Source organism: Homo sapiens, chromosome 3 (assembly GCF_000001405.40).
Source record: "Homo sapiens chromosome 3, GRCh38.p14 Primary Assembly".
Lineage (NCBI taxonomy): Eukaryota > Metazoa > Chordata > Mammalia > Primates > Hominidae > Homo > Homo sapiens.
In genome coordinates this window covers 167,391,575-167,417,206 of record NC_000003.12, presented here as the reverse complement: position 1 = coordinate 167,417,206, position 25,632 = coordinate 167,391,575, and the positions used below count along the sequence as shown (strand labels likewise).

General features: G+C 35.1%; 1 protein-coding gene and 1 long non-coding RNA gene across 2 annotated transcripts in view; one reads left to right on the top strand and one right to left on the bottom strand.

Annotated features, from left to right (window-relative positions):
• Positions 1–8,687: 8,687 nt before the first annotated feature.
• On the bottom strand, positions 8,688–24,411 carry LINC01327 (long intergenic non-protein coding RNA 1327). Its single transcript, NR_126353.1, has 4 exons — positions 24,342–24,411; positions 17,630–17,712; positions 15,770–15,870; positions 8,688–8,968 (listed from the first exon to the last, which is right to left on the bottom strand). It is a non-coding gene; the product is annotated as a long intergenic non-protein coding RNA 1327 (long non-coding RNA).
• ZBBX (zinc finger B-box domain containing) overlaps positions 9,321–25,632 on the top strand; it is a 229,485-nt gene continuing 213,173 nt past the window's right edge. Inside the window, exon 1 of the mRNA NM_001377489.1 lies at positions 9,321–9,481. The gene's annotated coding sequence lies outside the window, so the exon portion shown is untranslated. The remainder of the gene's footprint in view (positions 9,482–25,632) is intronic.

Sequence of the window (25,632 nt, the reverse complement as noted above, 5' to 3'; positions counted from 1 at the left end):
TACTGTCCTGGACATAGGAATGAGCAAAGATTTCATGACAAAGACACCAAAAGCAATCACAACAAAAGCAAAAATTGGTAAGTGTAATCTAACCAAACTTAAGAGCTTCTGCACAGCAAAAGAAGCTATCAAAAGAGTAAACAGACAACCTACAGAATGAGAGAAAATATGTGCAAAGTATTCATCTGACAAAGGTGACATATCCAGCATTTATAAGGAACTTAAACAAATTTATGAGAAAAAAAAAACCCATTAAAAAGTGGGCCAAGGACCTAAACAGACACTTCTCAGAATAAGACATACATGTGGCCAGCAAACATATGAAAATAAGTTCATTATCACTGATCATTAGAAAAATGAAAATCAAAACCACAATGAGATACCATCTCACACCAGTCAGAATGGCTATTCTTAAAAAGTCAAAAAATAATAGATGCTGGTGAGGTTGTGAAGAAAAGGGAACACTTACATACTGTTGATAGGAATGTAAATTAGTTCAAACATTGTGGAAAGCAATATGGCAATTCCTTAAAGAGCTAAAAACAGAACTACCATTCAACCCATCAATCCCATTACTGGTTATATACTCAGAGGAATATAAATCATTCTACCGTAAAGACACATTCACGTGAATGTTCATTGCAGCAGTATTCACAATAGCAAAGACATGGAATCAATCTAAATGCCCAAAAATGACAGATTGGATAAAGAAAATGTGGTACATATATACCACAGAATACTATGCAGCCATAAAAAAGAATGAGATCATGTCTTTCGTGGGAACATGGATGGAGCTGGAGGCTATTTTCCTTAGCAAACTAATGCAGGAACAGAAAACCAAATGCCGCATGTTGTCACTTATAAGTAGGAGCTAAGTGATAAGAACTTGTGGACACAAAGAAGGAAACAACAGACACTGGTTCCCTTTTCTTCACACCCTTGCCAGCATCTATCTGTTATTTTTTGACTTTTAAAAATAAGTCTACTTGAGGAGGGAGGGTGGGAGGATGGAGGAGGCAGAGGAGCAGAAAAGATAACTATTGGGCTCTGGGCTTACTACCTGAGTGATGAAATAGTATGTACAACAAACTCCCATGACGTGTGTTTACCTATGTAATAAACCTTTACATGTACCCCTAAACCTAAAACAGAAGTTAAAAAAAGGCCCAGCCGGTCATAGTTTCCTAAACACAGAGATTGGTTCAGGGGAAATAATAATTCCAGGCAGGACCAAATTCCTTCCTTTGGATTGCTATACGGATCTTGAAGAAGAAATAATATCATTCTTCTGAGATTTCTAAATAGAGAGGATGTGAGACTGAGATTCCATAATGGCCATTTCTATCTGCTAAAGGCACCTCTGTAGAATAGAGCCAACTACAGATATGAGATTGTTGGAGAAAAAATATTGGCTGTGTGAAGGACCCTGTATCTTTTTTTTAGTTAAGAGACAGTCATTTCTCTTTCTATTTAAGTTTCCTTTTTTTTTTTCTGTTACCTGCGACCAGAAGAATCCAGACCAGTACATAGCAAAAGCAAAGAATACCAGGTATGGCATATTGGTTAGGTGCATGCCTGCCTGTGCAGACATTATTGTCTAGATTAATTAGCTATACCTCTTTAATTTATTTTTTCTGTGGTTACTCTACTTTACAACATTCATCTGTCACTTACCAATATTCTTTCTTGATGTATAATGTAACAACAACAGATACTTCCATTCACTTTCACCATTATTTGTGGATAGTGCTAACACAATTTACTTCCACGTATCATATAAATCCTATAATATACAGTTAAATGTTTGCCTTAAGCTGTCAAATAACTTTGTCAAGAATTAAATAATAAGAAAATATTTTATATTTACCCATGTATTTACCACTTCCAAGGCTCTTTTCTTTATTTAGATGTGTATTTACATTTTGGTATAACATTTCTTCCACCTAAACTTAAAAAAATTTTTTCTTATAGTGAAGGTTTACTGATGACAGACTCTTTCAGCTTCTGTGTCTTAAAATATCTTTTTTTTGCCTAAATTTTTGAAATTTTATTTTGTGGATATGGAATTCTTGGTTGATAATTTAGCACTTTAAAGACATTGTTGCACTATGTTCTGCGTGGTGGTATTCCTCATTCCCCTTTGGGTAATGTGGCTCAGTTTCTACCTGCTTTTCATCAATTTGATTATAATGTGCTGCAGTGTTATTTTCGTTGTGTTTACTTTGCTTGGGGTTTGTTGTCTTTATTGGATTTATAAATAGTAAATAGTTAAAATAAAATTGGGGGTATTTTGATTTTTATTTTTCCAAATATTTTTCTTCTCTCTTCATCTCTCTGGTCTTCAATTACTTGTGTGATAAATTATATTGCATTCCTCCACAGAACACTGTAGTTTGTGTTTTTCTCTGTACATGAGTTTGTATAGTTTCTTTCGTAGTGCCTTTAAGTTCATTTATCTTAAGTTAGTCGGTTCTAATTTCTGTTTAATTTCATCCAGTAAAATTTTCACTTTAGATATTGTATTTTTGAGTTCTATAAGTTTTATTTTAAAAATATATTTCCCTTTTCTTCAAAATTTTTAAGGTTATCCTTTAAATTTTTTAATATAGTTACAATATCTATTTTAAGTTCTTGTCAGCTAAATCTACTATCAATTTCATTTTGAGGTGTGTCTTTCTATTTACTGATTTCTCTTTTATTTGTGGATCACATGTTTTACTTCTTTGTAGATGTAGGAATTTTGTCTGGATGCTGGACATTATTACTATTATTATTATGCTGCGATTCTGAATTTTATTGATTGCCTTTAAAGAAAGTTGAGTTTTACTTTAGTAGCTAGAGAAATTACTTCCGGATCAACTTGATCTTTTCAAAGCCAAAGATAAAAAAGTCACCTATATACAAAAAATGATAACATGAAATGAAAGGAAATGATTTGTATGTAAAAGGGTAAAGTCCTGAGACAACTTCTGGGAACTACTGATCAATTTCTTTTCCCACTGATTATTAAAGTCAGTAAAAATAGTCACTTACTTAGTTTTACATACACATTTTTTTTTCATTATGTCTTCACATTAGCATCATTCCTTGATGGAAAACAGCAAAAATCTAGACTCCAACCAGGAAAAAGTAGCTACATATTCTCTCCCAGCACCCTGTGCAATTCAGGCAAACTCTTTCTTGAGTTGCTTTTCCTACCTTTAACATTACCTTAGAACTTTGTGAATGACCATCGTAGAGAAAAGAACAAGGAGATAACTTTAAATATCATGGGAAATACTGAATTTGACATGGAACTAATAATCTAAGAACAGATAGAATATGATTAAATGAGTGCTACTCTGGTGCATTTTCAAGAGATTATAAAAAGAAATTTTTACTTGATCAAACCATCTAGAGATTATTGAAGAAAGATAATTTGTAAGTTGGAGTATTTGAGCTATCTCAAACATACCAAATTATGGCATACCTTCTTTTTCTTTTATAGATATGCAGGATTCTGTAATTTGATTTTGACTAGATTTTATTAGACCAGTAAGTTAGGATAAAAAATATTAAAATTGAAAAATGCTAGAATAGTCCAATTGTATATGTGGGCATTCAAAGGAAAATGTAATGTTAGTAACATAAGGCATTTAAGTAAAGTCAGTTGTTAATTTATTAAGTATGTCTACACTATAAGTAGATATATGGTAGACATATAGTGATATACAGTATGATGAAAAATTAAACCAGTCTACTGCATGGTTCATAGGTACTTTCAGATTCAATTTAAATTTCACCACAGTGTTTTATACACTAGCAATCTTAAAAATAGGAATGTGATTTCCTCTTCAAATTTTTTTTTGGCATAGGATGCCCAAAATATCTAAATTTGGTCAGTTCAGTTAAATGTCCCAACAAAAAATATTTTCTTTTGGTAAAAATACTTTTTTACTTTTCAATTGTTAGGTTAAAGTTGTGATTGTATAATGTACAGCACTTGTTGAAGTATAGCTTGAAGATTTGTAGGGGGTGCCTGAGACTCTCTGAGGTCAAACTATTTACATAATATTATTAAAAATTTTTTGCCTATTTCACCTTCAGTCTTTCATGAGTGTGCAGTGCAGTTTCCATGGGCTACAAGATGTGTAAAATTACAGCAGACTGAATGCAGAGACAGATAGGACTCCATAGCTATTTTCTACTACACATGACATTAAAGAGATATGAAAAATATTAAGAAATGCTACTCTTCATGATTTTTTATTTGAAAAACACAGTTTAAAAATATATTACTTATGTTAACATACATTGAATTTATTAGTTATTTTGAAATGGATTAATATAAATATTAATTGCTCAGTTTTATTATCTAATATGACAAATATTTAACTCATTGGCATGCCCAGTAATTTTTAAGTGTGGAAAGGTATCCTGATACCAAAAAGTTGGTGAAACCCTGATTTTATATATATATATATGTACACACACACACACACACACACATACATATACATATATATCTGCCACATTGACATTAAATAGTTAAGCATTAAAAGAATAATCTTAATGAGTAACTGGGGGGAAAAGTGGAAGCATGCTTCTGCGAAACTGGGAGTGTATGACACTGAAACAGGCACATCACAGAAGATATCTGTGCAATGCGGATAACTATATCAGATACTACAGCATCAAAACCCTTTTTTTTCCTCACACCATAAAAGAAGGCAGAATAACTATAAAATTCTTCATATGACTACAGACAGATGGGTGAAAGCAGAATATAGCCATAGGAAGGTCCAAAGAGAATCAATGCAAATTTGAAAAAAAAATTTCTTTAGGGAATATACAATCATAGAAATTGTTTTTAGAGAACATAAATTAAGAGAAGAGCAAGACATATTTCATTTTCCCAGTGTTTACAAAAATCTTTAGAGTAAATAAGAAGTTCAAGTAATGTTTAGTGAAGGCTTTTTGGTTACAGAAACTCACTCACATCTAAACAAGAAAGAAAAATTTATTTGAGGATACAGGGGTGTTTGATTACCAAGGGAGAAAGTACAACCAAGCTTCAGGAGGGATCAGAACCTGGAGGTGACCAACATCAAGTCCTCAGAAGGTTATTAAGTTATTGTCCTTCTTTTTGGAAAACTATATTTTAAAAAACATCTTGGTTTCTCTCTGGGATCCTGATAAATTCATTTGCTTCTGTAGATTGCCTATTTTGCTACTCCATGCGTATGGCTGAATATGACCCATGTAAGTCCTCATGTTTACAAGGCAAGCCACCAGCAGAAGTTGGCTAGCATCATTAAATTCTGACTCCAAATGGTTAGAATAGTCGGACTGGCCCAGTTTAGGGTATATGTCCAACCTTGATCAAGGTAGTTATTGCCTAGAAGTGTTTGGGCACTGAAGCTCATGAAGGACTGTGTTAGCTCTCAAAGAAGTGACTTGTGAGCTAGACAAACATTGCATCTCAGTAGCAATAAAAGATATGTAAGTATACCCAACAAATTTCTACTTATCTCTAGATAATTTAGTTACCCTACTCAATGTCTCAGCCAATCTAATTTTAGTACGTAATCACCACAGCTTTAGTGATTGGTGTAAACACTCTCTTTACATATAACTCTAGGTAACTGTCTTGATAGAAGTACCCTGGGACAATTCTCTTTATGAAGCTTGGGCTCTGAAGCAATTGCTACATTGTAATGAACTGTATTTCTTTGGGCAATAGACTCACCTAAATTAACCTATATATAAATGGGAGCTGATATGACCTGAGAAAATAACTGTGGATATGCATAGTTCTGTAATGGAATCTCACAGTTGGCTTAGCATTGAGATTAATTTTGAAGTACTGTGTCTGGAGTGTTCCTTGAAGACCTGTTCACTACCGGTATGTTACAACCATATCCAACTGCATCCATACAATGGAAGGCCTAAATGCTATCCCTCCCCGACAGCCTGAGTTCATGAGACATACACCACCAGTTCTCACATGCAACAACAGGACTTTCCTGGAACAGCCAAAAGATGGGCCTATTTTCTTGGAAATGCAGTCTGCTCCCCTTCAATCCTGATTAGAAAATGCTGAGAAAATGTAATTGTTCTTTTTTGGTCATGCACCATGTCTTTTGTCCTTATAGTTAATGGGAGAAATTGGAAGTGGCATTAAAACTTGCCTGTGTCTTGCCAACATCTGTGCATACGTGTCTCTATGTGAATACTCACTTATTTAAAGGGGAATAATCATTTCTATAGCTCCACTTTTGAAACTGGAAAGTTGATCTTAATCAGACTAACTTAGTAACTAGGGCAATATGACATATGCTGCAGTGATAGTTCTTTTTATAAAAAATTCATTGAAAATCCCCATTCTCAATGCTTATCATAGCTGTGCACAGAAATCATATCTTTCTGGTCTTTCACAGATCTAGGGACTTGATCTGATGGGAAAAACCTCCATACCATTGTATAACACAGCTAACAAGTGGTGTTCCCAAAAGAATACCATTTCAAATGTTGACATCAGGTGGTGGTAATAGAAAATAGGACAAGAACTCACATCTCTTAAATCTTCTCTTGGCTGCCTACTGCTGCTCTGGATTCAGTGTCTCCCTCAGACCAAAGCAAGTGAGTCTGTGTTCCATATTATAAACCTCTGCAGGTCCTCCTCCAGCCATGTCTTCTCTCTGAAGAGTTAAAAGTCTGCAAAGTCAAGGGAATTGTGTCTATTCAGAATTTGGGACTCTCTCTCTTTAACCATTCTTTGGATACCTGGAACACTAAAATTTGCTTCCCAAACAGCACCAAACCAACTTCCGAGGTTTATGTAGGGCATTTCCTAGAGGGCATCCTCTTTAGGAAATACTGTCCTATGAAAGGACCCATCCCAAGATTAAAGAAATAGCCAAAGGACTAATGTTTACAGTGGCAGAGATAGAACTTGGACTTGCAGTTTGGGGTGGGCATGCAACCAGGCCTTTTCCTGTGTGGGATGGAGGTAGGGATGGAAGACAAGGGAGGTAAGTTACTCCTTACTGAGGATTAAGAATTGGTTCTTATTATGATACTTTTTTTTTTTCAGAAACCCAATAAATACAAGAATTCTAAATTCAAACTTGGCCTTCCAAGTATTATAAAGATTTATTTATTGAAGTAGAAGAATAGACATATTTCTTTTAAATTTTTGGCTTGATTTATAACTTTCAAATACTTAGATATATGATATGTGGGCCTCCATTTGTACTCTTGCCCAGTAATCCACAAATGGCCAGCACACCCAGATTCTTAAGAGTTTCCAGGAAAGTTCAAATGCTTTATTAATATACAACTTTTGCCCTGACTCTAAAGTATTTGTGTCATAGGGTGAGCTGGATAGAAAGAGATAGAAACATTTTCCAGCCTGTGATAGGACAGCCTAAACTGGAACGAAATCAAGCAGAGCAGCTTGTTTATGTCTCTCTCAAGCCCAGACCTACATTTTATCCCTTTATATTCAACCTTCAAAAGCAAGGGGAGGCAAATCTAAAGAGATGACTGCCAAACAAGCATGGAGGAGAAAAGGTTCACTTTAAGACTTAGAGAACAGGAGATAAAACCCAACTATCCTAGGATTTCTTGTCTGAGACCTCCCTGGTTCCTGATAGACATTTCCTCTGTCTACACTTGACTATGATTTCTTAGTGAAGAGGCATTAAATATTGTCACTGAGGTGTTATTTGTATTTCTTGGGTATTTATTTGGTTAAAAAAGCTATAGGTTGAGTTCCTTCTTCTACATGGGTAGCTACACTTGGCAGACAAACATACAACTACAGTTAAGATTCTTATGCATAGAGCAGGCCAAGAACTGCTCTCAAGCAGTGCCCTTTACAAAATAATGCTTCAGTGAAGTCAGTGTCAACCCAGATGCATCCTAACTTACACAAACACAATCTGAGATGATGCCACAGGGAGAGCTAGGTTTGCTATTGCCCAGCATTCAAGCAGCAACATAAATACTACAGATTCAAATTTCTTATTATCCCTCATCTGGTAAATTAATTCCATAGTCTTTTTTTTTTTAATTAAACCTTGAGATATCTCACCATTCTGCAATATTATCACACTCAATATTAAGGCACAGTTCAGATGTCAATAAAGTTAGCAAAGTCAGTATTACTCACTACTGATCTTTTAATGAACTGCCATATTTTCCGGCAGGCCAAAATGTCGAAGCCAAGTTTAAGCATTATCCACGTGGTCTGCTTTCAAGCTTGATATTATATCTTGCTACACAGCAACATTAGTGCTCATAAAGCTTAATGTTTCCGGGGCTCACCCTCTGTGTAAGCAGGTTAGGTGGCTACTTCTGTGACCTGATTTCAGAGCTTGCAAACCTTTTCTATTCCTGATATTTTTAAACATCTATTCTGCATCTACCATTGTACTAAAACCTGTGCTAAATGCTACTGCCAGAAAGACACAGTGTTGGCCTTCCAAGTCATTAGAGCGATGAAAGTGGCAGACATGACTGGCTTGCTATGGTGTGGAGAATTCTCATAGTGGAGGAGCTCCTTGTCATTAAGTAACTAGGCCTCCATGCTGCCTGTGTTAAAAATGCAAACGTGGGAGGTGAAACTCACTGGTCTATTAAAATCTGTATTAGTTAGGTAAAGGTTAAGCTGCCATTTAAGAAAAAAGTAGATCGCAAATATGGTCGTTTTAAAAGATCTTTAATTTCTTAGCAAATGTTTTCATCTGCATGATCAAAAGTTGAATTGCAAGCATGTGCATGTTCTGGCTTACAGCAGGGGAAAAGAACAGATGTTGAGGGCAAGCAATTTGCTTTTAAACCGATGAAGCAGAAATTGCGCTTATCATTTCCATTCATATTCCCTTGGTGATAACTAGGTCACATTCCAGAGACAGCTGCAAAGGAGTCTGGAAAATGGAGTCTCCAGCTGGGCGGCCCCATACCTTGTTTGAACTCTAGTATTCTGAAACAATAGCAGTATGGATTTTGATAGAAAACCAACTAGCAGTGTCCACTATAGAATCACTCAAAACTTCAGCATTTTCTGCATAGTCCATTTAATAAATTAGCTATTGTTCTAGTAAAATTTCAAGGTTATGAGACACACAACGGAATATTCTTAAAAGGGTGAGAGTCGGTAGGCACTCTGCAGGATAATTGGGCCTGATTGTGAGTTGGGTGCAGAATGGAAACAGTAGTCATCTAAAATAAACTTGGAGAAGAATTTGGTAGCTAAAGATAAACTCGAAGGCACAATGAGGAATCATCTTGGAACACGGTGGAGATATTATACTGAGCTGGTGATATAACAAAGTCAAAATCATCTCAGAGCTGTCTGTGAGCGCATCAGTAATTAGAATACAATTGACCCTCGAGCAACACAGAGTCGACTGCGTGAGATTTGCTTTCACCTCTGCCACCCCTGAATCAGCAAGACCAACCCCTCCTCTTCCTCTTCCTCCTCAGCCTACTCAAGGTAAAGACAAAAATGAAGACCCTTATAATTACCTACTTTACTTGATGAATAATAAACATATTTTTTCTTCCTCATGATTTTCTTAATAACATTTCCTTTTCCCTAACTTTTTTGTGGGTAAGAATACAGTGTATACTGTATTTTGTATTAATAAAAAACGTGTTAATTGACATTTTGTTATTGGTAATGCTTCCATTCAACAGTAGGCTATTAGTACTTAAGTTTTGGGGGAGTCAAAAATTATACGAAAATTTTTGACTGTGCGAGGGATTGGCAGCCCTAATCCCCACATTGTTCAAGGGCCAACTGTACTTACATATTCAGTTTTTGCAAACAGTATTGTACCTATTTTTGTTTCTCCAACTGGAAAAGGCATAGAGGTATGGACATTAGCATTGGACATTTCTACCTATAAAATATTTTAGCATTAATATCAAAAAATCATTTAAAGTTAATGTATTTACACTTGAGATATTTTATGCTGTTTAATTTTTCACATCCTTATTTGGATTTTGTTAGATAAATTTAAAATGCATAGTGAGGGTGATAAGCACATATTTATACTTATTCATTTGAGGTTTTTGAAATGCTGGATGCAGCCTGGATTCTTTAGTTATATGATGATCTGGCGCCACCCAGCAGACTGGGCAAGCATTAACTCTGTGACCACTTGAAAAACAAGGGCTGAGAGTGGCTTTCACAGTGGTGAGTCAGTCTTCCCAAACAACAGACTGTTCTCCTGGTTCTTATGTCAGGAGGCAGTCAGGCTATTCAGGAACTACTTGGATAAAACTGATCTTTCAAGTTAGATTATTTTTTCAAATGCCAAATCCTACATACAAATTAAAAGATTTTCCCAATTTGCCCTATTTCCATTTCTTCCCCCATTTTCAAGAATAGAATTAGGATTTGGCTCTTTGTTTGCAACTTCCCTGATCCTTTCCAATCCCTTCACCTACATTTCTGGAGATCATGGTAGAGAACTGAAAGGGCTTACTCATTTGCGATCAAATTTGAATTGTAAACTACTTTCCTAGCTACGTCCATGGTGTTCAAACAGGGAATTATTCTAAGGAGAAAATGTTTTTAAAATTTATTTTATTTTTAACTTTTATCTATTTATTTATTTGATACTGGATTTTGTGACTGGCTAATTCTTTTGTAATTTGGGTAGAGATGGGGTTTTGCCATGTTGCCAAGGCTGGTCTTGAACTCAGGCTCAGGTGATCCACCTGCCTTGGCCTCCCAAAGTGTTGGGATCACAGGGATGAGCCACTGTACCCAGCTGGAAATATCTTACAAGACTGTGATTTAGATTTCTCTACCATTTACATTTTTTCCATACACCGTTTAATCTCATAAGTTCCCTGGGGAGTGTCTCCAATTATATAAATTACTAAGAACGCTGTGCCAAACCTTACCACTGTTTGTGGTGAAAAATATAAGTAGGCTTTTGTCCAAATTGCCTTTAAATGTTTATCACATTCTTCTTTATAGATTTACGTTTTACCTATACCATTCACACAGACAGTACTGCTTATAAAAAATGTTATTGAAGACTATTGTCTCTGAAGATGTAGCTTAGGTTGAAAATCAGCCAAACTACAATAATGAAAGAAACTACAATAATCTATTTGGGAAGAATTTATTAATTTTTTTTTTAGACTGAGTCTTGCCCTTGCAACCCAGGCTGGAGAGCAATGGCACTATCGGCTCACTGCAACCTCTGCCCCCCGGGTTCAAGTGATTCTCCTGCCTTAGCCTCCCAAGTAGCTGGGATTACAGGCACCTGCCACCACCCCAGGGTTTTGTATTTTTAGTAGAGACGGGGTTTCACCATGTTGGCCAGGCTGGCCTTGAACTCCTGACCTCAAGTGATCCACCCCTCAGCCTCACAAAGTGCTGGGATTACAGGCGTCAGCCACCACGCTCGGCCTGTTGGTTTCTTAAGCTGAAGAGAGTACCTATTGCTTCTTTCTTACAACTCAAGCAATAGGCTTTTAAATTATTGGTGGTACCAGCTTACCAGGAATACCTTCTTCAATTACTAATTTCAGGTTAAGAGTTCCTATTTAGCTTAAATATCAAGCTCCCTGAAAGAATAACCTATACTAAGTTTTTCTTCACCTTCATATTTTTATTGTTTTCAATTTAATGCAGCCATGTTCCTATCACACTTCTTCATGAAAATTACTGGAGTCAGGAGTAACTTTTTGTTCACCAAATGTAATGACTGCTTAAGTCTTCACCTTTTCTGTACCACTTATCTCGCTTCGACATTATCTTCTTAAATTCCTATCTCTCTTTGGTTTTTATGACACACTTTTTCTGGTTCCTGTCTCGTTATCTCATCCTTTTCTTCTTTTCTTCATTGCAGTTTCTTCTTCTGCTGTCTGCACTGTTTATGTCAGAGGTCAAGGGTTCTGCATTTGGTCTTCTTTCTATCCTCACTGGAGTATTCCTACCATTTCAGTGACTACAACCACTGCAATTATCTCTAACCTGACCTCTTTCCTGATGTCATACTCACATATTGAATTGCCCTGTAGACATTTTTAACAATGTCTCACAGACATTTCAAAAGTGTCCAAAAGAGAGCTCATTGCCTTTCCTCTCAGATGTGCTTCTTCTTCTTCACAATGTTTTTAATAAAAAGCATCCATGCAGTCTCCTAGCAAGAACCCTTAAAAATTTTAGATGTCTTCCTATTGCCACCTCTCCCTTGTATCAGACATCTAAGTGACCAGTTTCTATTATTTTCAAACACCAAATATATCTCCAGTTTATTAGCTTCATTCTACTCCCCCCGACCAGTTTCTGCATTAATTAAGGCCATCATCTTGTTTCACTAGATTATTGTTATGGCTGCTAATTTGTAAACCTTTTCTCTGTCTCTCCATTCTTCAATATCTTTTTGACAATGCCACCAGAGGGGAAAAAAAGCAAATCTGGTCATATTATTTCCATGTTAAATGATTGTTCTATTAATTATTGACAGAGGAATGCTGAAATTGAAGTCAGTCCAATTTTCCAACAAGCCAGGTGTCTATAGAACTGAAGCTTGAGAAACTTACATTTGTATAATGAAATGCACCTGCTGTCTGTTGACCAACTTCTTTTCCTTGTCCCTTCTGTTGTCCTTCCCAGCTATATAAACCCTTGAATGGGCGTGGAGAAAGGGGGAGAGTGGGAGAGTGAAGAGTGGATTTAGGGTTTGCCTCCCACCTCTCCAGCTGACATCACCCAAATAAAATCTTCTTCTCTGACAATACTCATTGTCTCAGTGATTGGTTTTCTGTGTGGCGAGCAATGGGACCTAGAGCAAACCCCTGGTTATTCGTAATACAATTTCCTACTATAACTATGAATTTGTCTATTTCTACTTGCAGAAATGTTAATGTCTTCTGTAGATTCGCTTATTTTTTTGTTTCTGTAAAGTTTTGCTTTGCTTACTTTTAAGCTCTATTATAAGTAGCATGCACACTTAGAAATATTATGTATTTTTTTAACGAATTCCATTTATCATTATGAAATATCTCTTTATCTTTGGTACTACTTGTTTTGAAGTTTACTTTGTTGGCTATTCATATAGCCGAACCAGGTCTCTTATGATTAGGAGTTTGCTTTCAACCTATCCATGTTGCGTTTAAAATGCAATTTCTGTAGAGGGTGTACAGTATACTGTTAGTATGCTGACTTTTTTCGCCTCTGACAATATTGCTTTTTCTTCAGAATGTGTAGTCATTTTACATTTAATGCAATTATTGATATGATTTACTTGAAGTTTAACATCTTATTTATATTTTTAATTTTTTGTTCTTCTTTTGTTTCCTTGATCTTACTTTCCTGCCTCCTTTTAATCTAGTATTAGTTTAAAGTAGTATTAAGTTAGCATTCTATTTTATATAACCTGTTAGATTTTTATTATACTTCTTCATTTTATTTTTAAGTAGTTGCTTTGCTTTAGGGACTAAAGTATGCACATTTAACCTACCATATTCTATACTGAATTAATATACTCCACCTCACATATCATAGAGGACACTCATCAAATTATAATTCTATTTATTCCCATTTCATGTTTTTTAATGCTCTTAAGCATTTTACTTTTTCATATATTATTAACCTCACAATATAAATGTTTCATTTTAAATAGTGAAGTGTCTTTCAAACAAATTAGGAGAAAAAATGCTTGCATATTCACCTTGTTATTTACCATTTTTGGCATTCTTCAATTATTTTTGCAGATCTGAATTTCCTACTGGTATCATTTCTCTTCAGATTGAAGAAGTTTTGACATTTCTTATAGTGCAGATATGATGGCAACAAATTCTCTCAGCTTTGATTTATTATTTATTCATTTATCTGAAAAAGTATGTATTTTACCTTTAGTTTTGAAGGCGATTTTTGCTGGATGTAGGATTCTAAGTTGATAATCGTTTTTTAGTTGTTTTCTTTTAGCACTTTAAAATGTCAATGCGTTGGGTTAATGAGATTGTTACTCCCTCTTACATGATGCATTCTTTACTGTGGTACCCGTTAGAATTTTTTCTTTCCCTTTGGATTTCAGTTTGACAATTATATGCTTATGTGCATTTTGCATAAATTTACTCCATTGGAGATTCAGCGACCTTCCTGGATTTGTAGATGTATGTATTTTCAAACATATAAGGAAACTTTTCAGTCATTGTTTCTCCAAGATCTTTTGTACTCTGACTTATTCCCTCTCCTATCCTTCTGTTCTTCCAATTACAGGTATATTTGACTGCTTGATTTAACAGTTTGTTATGTCTTTAACAGTTTGTTATGTATTTAACAGTTTGTTTATGCCTTTTTTTCTATGCTTTACTTTGGATAAGTTCTCCTGACCTGTCTTCAAGGTCACTAACCATTTGATTATTTTGTGATTTTTCTGTATAGTTCATCTATTTTTTTTTTTTACATATTGTAGTTTACAGATATATAATTTTTAACTAATTTTTCTTACTTATTTTATTTTATTCTCTGCTGAGATTACCCACCTATCCACCTATTCTCATATTTTCCTATTGAAGATAGATCTTTTAAATTATTTTCTGCTAATTCCAGTATCTGGATCATCTGTGGTTTGCTTTTGGTGATTTTTTTCCCTTGCGCGTGAGTCCTATTTCTGCCTCTACGTAGGTCTCGTAATTTGTTATTGCATAGTAGAAATTAAGTATAGAAGAAAAATAGGGTTAGAGGATTAACACTGGGTTTTTATTTTCTTTTTGCCAAGAAATTTCAAGTTATTTTTTCATCTGTTGGCTAAAGTGGGAGTTGATTGTTCAGATTTCACCAAGGGTTTATTTATCTGGGACTGAGATGAAGCTTCCCTCTTGTTAACCCAATCGCCAACATTCAGTTTTCCAAGGAAGGGCTAGTCTCATGGAGCTTATCAGGATTTTATTTGGGATTCCTTGCAATATCTTTGAATTTTTAAATTTCAGGTATGGGGAGAATATGGGAGATGCAGCAGATTGAATGATTTCTGTCTGCTTATCAGTTCTTACTTCAATTTCATTGTTTTCAGCAAACTTGGGATAAGGTGGAGAGAATGACTGCGTTGAGCAAACTATTACTGTGCTTGGTAGTCTTTCAGACCGTAATGTAGCCCACGATCTCCACTGTTGCCAATAGCTCAGATGGCTTCATTTCCACCCAGTAAAGTCCTGGGTCTTGACCATTCTTCTGCTCGTCCTGCATCCAGACCTGCCAGATCTCACTGCTTACTTATAATGGGCACCTTTCTCTGGAAATCAGTTCATCAAGCCTTTCATGGTTCATTGACAGTCCCATATGGAAATATGATTTTTATTTTATCTTTTGACATTCTCATAATGTCAGAGGTGTGTGAACCAGAGCAACTCCGTCTAGAACAGGAGCTGGGTAAAATGAGGCTGCGACCCATGGGGCTGCATTCCCAGACAGTTAAGGCATTCTAAGTATAGGAGGTTGGCAGAAGATACAGGTCATAAAGACCTTGCTGATAAAACAGTTTACTTCAAAGAAGCCAACTAAAACCAACCAAAACCAAGATGGTGATGAGTGACCTCTGGTTGTCCTCACTGCTACACTCCCACCAGTGCCATGACAGTTTACAGATGACATGGCAACATCAGGAAGTTACCCTATATGGTCTAAAAAGGGGAGGCATAAATAATTCACCCCTTGTTTAGCATATAATCAAGAAATGGCCATAAAAATAAGCAACCAGCAGCCTTCCGGGCTGCTGTCTATAGGGTAGCCATTTTTTGTTCCTTTACTTACCTAATGAACTTGCTTTCACTTTACTCTATGGACTCGCCCTGAATTCCTTCTTACACGAGATCCAAGAGCCCTTTCTTGAGGTCTGGGTCTGCACCCCTTTCCTGCAACAATAAGAGCTAAGGTCTTTTGTGTCCTAATTGGAAGCAGAAAGTGCCTAGTGAACTTTTAAACGTTTTTTGATACTCATTTCAAATGTTACTTCTTAGAAGTTTTTTATTAAAATTCTCATTTGAAACTAATTCTTCTGTTGTGGCCCTGATATACAATCTTAGATTATTATCTATATTAGTTTAAAATAACTAGTTGTTTATTGGATTTATTTTCTAAAAGACAATACAATATTTGAGTCCAAGGACCACATTTTATTCATCCATTTAGTGTCAATAAATAGTGGTAGATTGTGTTGTGAAATGAAAATAAATCTTGGGGATCCCAAAATCACTAAGCTAAAGGGAAAAGTCAAGCTGGGAACTGCTTAGGGCAAACCTCCCTCCCATTCTATTCGAAGTCACCCCTCTGCTCACTTATAAATGCATATGTTATTGCCTTCTTTGGAGAGGCTAATCAGAAACTCAAAAAAATGCAACCATTTGTCTCTTACCTACCTATACCTGGAAGCCCCTTCCCTGCTTGGAGTTGGCCCGCTTTTCTGGACCAATCAATGTTCATCTTACATATGTTGACTGATGTCTCATGTCTCTCTGAAATGTATAAAACCAAGCTGTGCTCTGGTGCATGTGTCGTCAGGACCTCCTGAGGCTGTGTCACGGGTACGGGCCCTCAACCTTGGCAAAATAAACTTTCTAAATTAACTGATACCTGTCTTATATATTTGGAGTTCACGGTACTATAAGGAATTTAAACAGCAAGAAATCAACAAGAAAAATCAAATAACTCCATTAAAAAGTGAGCAAAGGACATGAACAGACAATTCAAGACATACAAGTGGCCAACCAGCATATGAAAAAATGCTTATCATCACCAGTCATCAGCGAAATGTAAATCAAAACCACAATAAGATATCATCTCACATAAGTAAGAATGCCTATTATTAAAAAGTCAAAAAATTACAGATGTTGGTGAGGCTGCGGAGAAAAGGGAATGCTTATATACTGTTGGTGGAAATGTAAATTAGTTTAGCCACTCTAGAAAGCAGTTTGGAGATTTCTAAAAAAACTACAAAGATAACTACTATTTAACCCAGAAATCCCACTACTGGGTATATACCCAAAGGAAAACAAATCATTTTACCAAAAAGACACATGCACGTGTATGTTCACTGCAGCATTATTCACAATAAAAAAGACACGGAATCAACTTAGGGTTCCATCAATGGTGGATTGAATAAAGAAAATGTAGTACATATACACTACGGAATACTATGCGGCCATAAAGAATGAAATCATTTCCTCTGCAGCAACATGGTTGTAGCTGGAGAGAGTTATCCTAAATGAATTAATGCAGAAACAGAAAACCAAATACTGAATATTCACAGTTATAGGTGAGAACTCAACACTGAGTACACATGGACACACAGGAACAGTAGATGCTGAGGACTACTAGAGGAGAAAGGGAGGGAGGGGGAATAGGGCTAGAAAAACTACCTATTGGGTAATATGTTCACTACCTGGGTGATAGGTTTAATCATACCTCAAGCCTCAGCATCATGCAATATACCCTTGTAACAAACAAGCATGTGTATCCATGAGGCTAAAATAAAAGTTAAAAAAATGGTGTAAATTCTGTGTCACTATGAATACATAATAATCTTGTTGAGTATACCATATTTTCTCTTACCTCCATGACCTTGCACATGCTAAGGTCTCCCCCTATGGCATAAAATTCCCATCCTTCCTTTACCTGTGAAACTCTGGCTTATACTCCAGCGCCCATCTCAGTCAATCTTTTTTCAGTCAGATTTTCTTGATGCTCTTTCAGAGTACCTACCACATAACAGTATATGTTAATTTTAATTATGTTCCCTACCTCTAGCACCAGAGTGCAAGCTACTGACAAGAGTAGACAATAGTAGAAGGGAAGCAGCTTAGAGTGGTTGAAAGACCATTAGTTTCAGTTGTAGATATACTGGGATTTAAATGGACTGGGCTTGTACTTAGTAGTTCTGAAAACTTTAGCAAGTTTATTAAATTTTCTGAAACTGCAAAGGTACAATCCCTGACATACAATTGGTACTCTATAAATGGGAGTTGTTATTGTGTGGTATTAGAAATTTATTGCTACAAAGTATTTACAAAATGTTTAGTGAATGAATGAGTGAGTGCATGAGTGAGTAAGTGAGAATTTTTTTTTTCTTACTAAATAGAGGCTGAGAAGTTTAAGGTCCAGTGTCTGCATCCGGTGAGAGCCTTCTTGGTGGTGGGGACTCCGAAGAGTCTCAAGGTAGCATAGGGCATCACATGGTGAGGGGGCTGAGCACGCTAATTGTTAGCTCAGTTCTTTCTTACTCTTCTTATAAAGCCACCAGTTCCACTCTCATGATAACCCATTAATCCAGTATTTCATTAATCTATTAATCCATGAATAGATTAACCCATTCATGAGGGCAGAACCTTAATAACCCAATCACTTCTTAAAAATCTGGCCCCATCCCTCAATACTGTCACATAGGGGATTAATATTTAACATGAGTTTTGGAGGGGACAAATATTCAAATCATAACATCTTGTGATAATGCCCTGACTACTTAAGAACAATTTACTTCTGGTATAACACATGTCCTAAAATTCTGCTAAGAGGTTGCAAATATCAGATATCTAAGAATTTTTTTCACGTGCTATCATAATTCTTTAGGTAATAAATCCAACCAGTTAGTGATAATAAATGTTCATTAAATATTTATACAGTAGGTTTATATATATTACATAATAAAATTCACTAGGTATAGAAAATATTTTCTAGCTAATAGGACATACATATCATAATTTAAGGCCTATAATTCTAAAGTTCATAAAAATCCAGACTGAATAATTTTCTGAAGCAGTGAAGATATTTTATTTTCCATAATAAAAGCATATTATTGACAATGTTATTGGGCCCTTTAAAGAATCTTATGCCTTTTTATATTTGTTGTAGACTGAACAATACTATATCTGACACTTCAAGATAAAATGAATTTGCATTTCACAGTTAAAGTCAAGTTATCTTTTTTTGCTGTGATAAAATATTCTTAAAAATGGGTAAGACGTTCTGACACAGCTACACATTTCTGAAACATAAACAAAATGAAAAATTTGAGAGCCCACAAATCAGTTTTCCATTGTAGAGATTCATTATCTGTAATCTTGCTTGACTGAACAGCTCTATGACTGAACAAGAATTGAAGCTCGTTCATTTTTTTTTCTCATCTTGTAGCACATTCATGAAACAAAGTGCCAGAACAAAATGGGCACACTACCAACTGTGTGCATTTTTCTTTTAGATGTTAGGATGCTGCCAGCCCAAACATGCTTTGTTTCTTTACCCCTATCCTCTCTGCTTGATTGTTGTCTCCTTAATTTGCAATTTGCTGAGCTTAAACTTATTTTTACAAGCAAACAAATGTAACCTAATTTTTTTTTTTTTGCAAGTGAGTTTGTTTAGTATTTTGAAAATCATATGAGTTTTTTTTTTTATTTCTCCAAATGAAGCTGATTCAGCAGGACATTTTTCCTTTTGAAAGGCAAAGCCATTTCAAGTGAAAGTTCTTCTAAAGATGATTTGTTTTTTCTTAGCCTTATAAGTTTTGTCATCATCTGCATTTCTCTCAGCATAAAAGGCTCTCTCCTGCCTTTCTCTCTTATTTATTGACTACTGTGCTAACAATAGTTTTCCTGGAAGCAGAAAAATTTCTTACCCTCTGACTTCTTGCTGGTCAACACAACTCTCTACTTTGACATGTTACATTTGGGAATGAAATATTAATATATGAGACCAGGCAATCTTTCGAAGAAGATAAAGTAAGGGAATAATCCATTCTGATAATTTTTTTCATGACATGAAAAAGAAAAAAGTGTGTTTTTGTGCATGTGCATATGTTGGAATGGGATAGAAATAAAATTTTATTTATTTTTAAAAGAATTTCATGGGCCATCCATACAGTGTATGTGAGGTGACTTGTGAACATTGACAAACTCAGGGTGGGGTTCTTCATTCAAACAAAACGTAGCAAGTCAATTGATGGCTGTAAGAAAAACCCAGAAAAATGCAAAGAAAATGCAGTCAGCGAAGACAAATGAGATGTAGGAGAAAGCATTTTGTAGAAAGGAGTCAGATTTTTTTTTTTTTTTTTTTTTTTTACCACCAAGAACCTCTTCTTCACGACTAATATCTTAGCAATTCTTAAGGTGAGTAGTTGAATGCTTTATGTTTATAAATTAAATACTCAAGGTTTCAATTTAAAAAAGGGAAAAAAATGAGCAATGCCATCCTTTCCATGTCAGACAAGAGCATTGGGCATTACTCCCTGGTCTTTTCCAATAACAATAACCAGATATGACATTGTGGCAATATTTTATTTAACATAAGACCTGTGAAAAGGAAAAACATAGCAGCATTTTTTAAAGGAGACACAAATGGTCTCTGCTTTTCACAGGACTTAAATAAAATATTCCTGAAGTAATTTTTCCCTATCTCTGTCTTCCTCATATTTTTGCTCTCAGGAAGAAAAGGGCAAGAAAAATTTCTAAAGTAACTTTGTTCAATTCAAATGTTCATTAACAAAACTTTAAAGACATTAGGGTGTCATTATCATCAAGTCTATTTTAGAAGTTTATTTTTACTTAATCAGTTACATACTCTCATTCATAAACCATAAACGTTTTTCACATGCCAAAGCATTTGTGCTTAGTTTCAACAAAACAAAGCAATACAAAATGAAGTGGTGCTACTTAAAAATAAGCCCAATCTGGGTAAAGAAAATACCATTTTTACTGCTAATTTCTCCCTGCTAGTGCTCAATCTAATGCCGGCAGACTTCTGCCTCATGTCTTGTTGCTACACATGGCTACAGGAGCTACATTCTGTGCCATCCTATGTGCCACTGAAGTGTGCTTCAAGGTCAATGTCGCCCCTAGGAGTTGCACAGCATAGAAATCCTGATTCTCTCAATCACTCAGGCTTACAACTATGCAAAGAGATTTCCATTGTCATTCATTTATACATTCAACAACAGAACCCAGGTAGGAGTAGCTGACACAGAGCCAGGGAAATGTATCCTGCAACAGTCAGCTCCACTGCAAGACTGTAGGGCAGATAAAGACTAAAGATGGTTATGAGGGCAAACAAACATACAGTCAGCATAACTTAGATCTATTCAGGAACTGTATTTTTGCATGGATTAGATTGAGCACTAGTAAGGAGAAATTTTGCCAGGAAAACAATGAATTCCGCAATCATGCCATGACAACTGTCTTCTTCCTCAAGTGATTTTTGAGTAAGGTACAATGGAGGCAAAATAAAACACAGAAATACTTTCACTGAGGTTTGTACCCAAGCCTTAAAGTAGACTCCAGGAAGCTAGAGGGAGAAGGTTCCATATATGTCATGCAGAAGTTTCCTTATATGCCAGGTAAGCCAATTCCTCAAACCAAAGTAGGCTACATGGCTTTCTCTCTTAATTCCCTATTCTTGCAATAGCTCTTCCAAATTTGCAATTTATGATATGCATAGACAAAAAGGCAAAATAAGCTAAAATTGAAGGGAACCCTCAGCCTTCAATCCGTATGCACAGTTTTTGGTGGTACTTTTGATAGTGACTTGGAAGTGAGAATGCATCACTAGAAACAAGGTTATTGTGATTTTCCAAACTTCACAGTTTGCAAAGTATTTTTATTATGTGCACTCTTGTGAACCTCATCACAACCTGACAAGGTTAGAAATCACTATTGCTGATATTTTATAAATGAATGCTAAGAATCTGTCCATTGTTGCTGCATGAGGAGCCAGGATTCCACTTCAGATCTCAGAATTATTTACTCTATAATTTTTCCATGGTACTAGGCTGCTTTTCTAACTCTGGCACTCCTGCCTGTTATTGTACACCCAGTAAAAGAGCATTCACATCCTCATTTCTGTATAAAAAGACCAGTATTGCAAGTAAAACCAGTTAGTACCAGAACCTATAACTGTTATTTATAAAACTTAAAATTAAAGCATGTGATATTCAAGAACATTATTTCCTTCTAAAAAATAACTTTACTCATTCTTAAAAAGCCAAAGGAAACACCCATCTAGTTTGATCTATAAATCCCCATATTATTTTTTTCCATTTCAATCTTGGCCTTCATTCTTCTAGTTGCATAAATAACTGGAGCATTTCTGAGAGGATTAGGGAACAAGCTTTAGAAAGTAAAAGAGAAAATGTTAGGTCTCCTCTCAGAGGATAAGTGTATTAGAGTTAATTGGGATGCTTGAACCAGAGGTTGGTTTTAATATGCCTCTATTTCCTTCCATGGCTCTCAAGACAGAGCTAACTCATGGCTCACAAGACAGAGCTAACTTACTCATCTAATTTGTCCTTCCATCAGGGTGGTGCTTCCATATATGATGATTGGACCATTGCAGGTGTTCCTGAAATGAACAGATTCTTGAGGTCCACCTCGGATCGACTAAATCAGAATTTCCATGATTGGACCCTTGATATTTATGAGCACTTAAGTCAGAAATACTGCTAGAGAGAGATTAACCTGATTCTGCATGCAGGAATAAACCTTTTATTGAGGAACTAATTTCTCAATATGTCAAGTTTTTGGCAGCTTTCTGTAGCATCTATTAGAATGAATCAACATTAATGAAGGCTTGCTTCTTTGGGCCGTGTAACCTTTTGTCTCAGAGGATTTGGAATATTAGATTCTTACCTCTCTTCCCAATGGCAGAAAAAAAAAATGAGTTTGAGAGATGAAAGGACAGAATAGCATTTTTTATCAAGTCAATTGTTATTTTCTACTTAACCTCTCTAATCTGCTTATTTTGGGGGAAAATAAGCAACTGTATTCTTTGTCAAGATTATTAAATCCTAAATTGTGTCCATATGCATGTGGCTTCTACTTGATACAATCAGAAAGAAAATAACACCTAAGCCAACAATCTCCAACTATTTCCAGTGGGGATAAAACAGTTTTAAAGTCTTCGAATAGCAAATATTGCTTAGCCATTAGCTTTGTAAAGATTGAGGAAAAAATTAAAAAGAGAACACTGAAAAACCCTTTGAAACGTTCAGTTATGGTACAACTCCACCCAATGGATTTCTGCTGAATTTCACTTGTGTTGAGAAGCACTGTATATACTAAATGCCATCTGAATTTATACTTAATTAATTATAGTTATGTAAAAAGTAAAGTATTAGTTATATAAATAGAGAAAGAATTGGAAGAGAATACATCCAGATATAAACAGATTTTGGTATGTATGGAAAATCTGGATAAAATATATATTCTACTTTTAAAATACTTTCTACATTTTCATTTATCTATCTGTATCTATTTTACATCTATTTAAACTTAGTGAAAAAGTTCAATAAGCATAATTTTACAAGAAACATTTTATGGATATAAAATGTGAAACATGTGGAAGGGCAATTTTTAGGCTGTCTTCACCATAAAAAGGTTACGCGGCTTTAGCTCTTGTATCATGTTTTTAATTAGTTGTGACTTGTAATCTAATAGTTCAATAAAATAGAAGTGAGATAATTGCATTTTACTTCCACCTTTTCCATTAACTTGGTTTGCTATTATGGACAAATAATTTAATATCTCTAGTTTCTTCTTCAGTGAAACGCAAACAACTACATTAACTTTTATTTTCACTCTAGCATCAAGAACTAATTGAGGCAATGACTGGAAAGAATCACAAGTACGTGAAGAAAATATTTATTAACATTCTGCAAGATAACATTATTACTTTATTTCTTGGAGCAGTTTATAAATACTAGCAACTTAACCCACTCTTTGATAAATAAACCCAAATAAGCAATTTTGGTAAAAAATAAGCAAGATCATGATAAAATCAATAAAAATGAATAAAATAAGTAGCAATGGAAATTTGTTACTTGAGCATAAGAAATTATTTGATATGCCTCATGAATTGGTTAAGATGCTAAAAGGAGCTTAAGCTGCTAAACAAACAAAATCTAAATATAGTGGCTTAAATAACATAGAAGTTAATTTTTCCTTTTACTTAGGGTTTCTCTGAAGATGAGCATCCAGACTGGCAGGGGGACTATGTCACTCAAATTTCACTGGTAAGAATTTATTCATATAGCTAGACTTTGCTGCAAGGGAGGCTGAAAAATGTAATCCTTAAGTGGTGTACTCCATTGTCCAGGGAAAGAGGGGCAAAAGGGGGTTTTGTTTTGTTTTAGGCTAGCTAACATTCTTCTAGTTATACTTACATCTTGGTCTCTGAAAATAGTTCATGAAATCATTGCATCATTGGATGGAAACAATATCCTACATTTATTCCTCATTCCATCCCATGGCTTTAAGTTCCTTTAGTATGATGATTATTCCCAAGTTTATATTTCCAGCTTTAATCTCTGCCTTGAACTTCAGATTGGTACACTAAACAGTTTACTTACCCATTCACTTCGATGTCTAACATCTCAAATTCAACATGTCAAATCAGTTAATAGCATTAACATCCACCTAAAATCTGGAAGCCCGTTTTAATTCCTCTGCTTCAGATGAAGTCAATCACCAACACTTTCTTTTTGTCTTTCTTTCTGTGTAATAGAAACCATGAGTTTTAGATGAGCACCTGGCATCTCATCTACAGACCATATCTCTAGCTCCTTTTGTAGGAGGCAGATGGGGTTCAATGACTAATCTCTTTTCAGTGGGATATACGCTGAAGCCATCATGCAACTTTCAGATCATGCTTATTAAAAAAGTGGAGCAGCAACTAGAACTTTATACATAGCTGGTGGAAATGCTTTGGAAAACAGTTTGACAGTTTCTTATAAAGTTAAATATAAACTTACCATACTACTCAGCAATTCTGGTACTAGATGTTTACTCAAGAGAAATTAACAATTCATCCAAAGGAAATGACAATGCTTCCACACAAAGACTTGCACATAAATGTTTACAGCATATTTATTAATAATAGACACAAACTGGATACAATTAAATGTTCATTAAAGAGTAATTATATAAATAAATTATGTTATATTTATCCAGTAGAATAGTCCTCAGTAATGACAGGGAACAAACTGGTGACACACATATTAACATGGGTAAATCACAAAAATGTTATGCTGAGTTAAAGAAGACTTACATGGGAGAGTACAAATTGTGTGATTCCATTTATAATGAATTCTAAAACCAGAAAAATTATTCCTTAGTGGCTAAAAGCAGATCAGTGGTTTCTTGGAGCTTCAGGTGGGTGAGGGTATTGATTGCAAGTGCATAGGGTAGGCAGAAACTTTTTGGGAATTTTATGTATAGATAAATATATCTATATTTATCTTGGAGCTTCATGTAGGTGAGAGTATTGATTTCAAGTGGATGGGATAGGCAGAAACTTTATAGGATTGTAGATATAGATAAGTCTTGATTTATATATATATTTACTTGATTTATCTACATATAAAATTCTAATATATCTTCATTCTAGTAGTAGTTACACAGACATACAGCATATATTTGTCAAAGTCATTGAAATGTAAAATTTAACATATTTGTGATTTATTGTATGTAAAGTATATATATCTGAATAAATTTGATGAAAAGAAAGATGACTTTATTTACAGTACAGACCAATGGTAATAATTAAAAGTCAATCATGTTCCAAAAAGGCAATTCTCAGCCTACCAACCAAAAAAAGCCCAAGGCCAAACGGATTTCCAGCTAAATTCTACCAGAGGTACA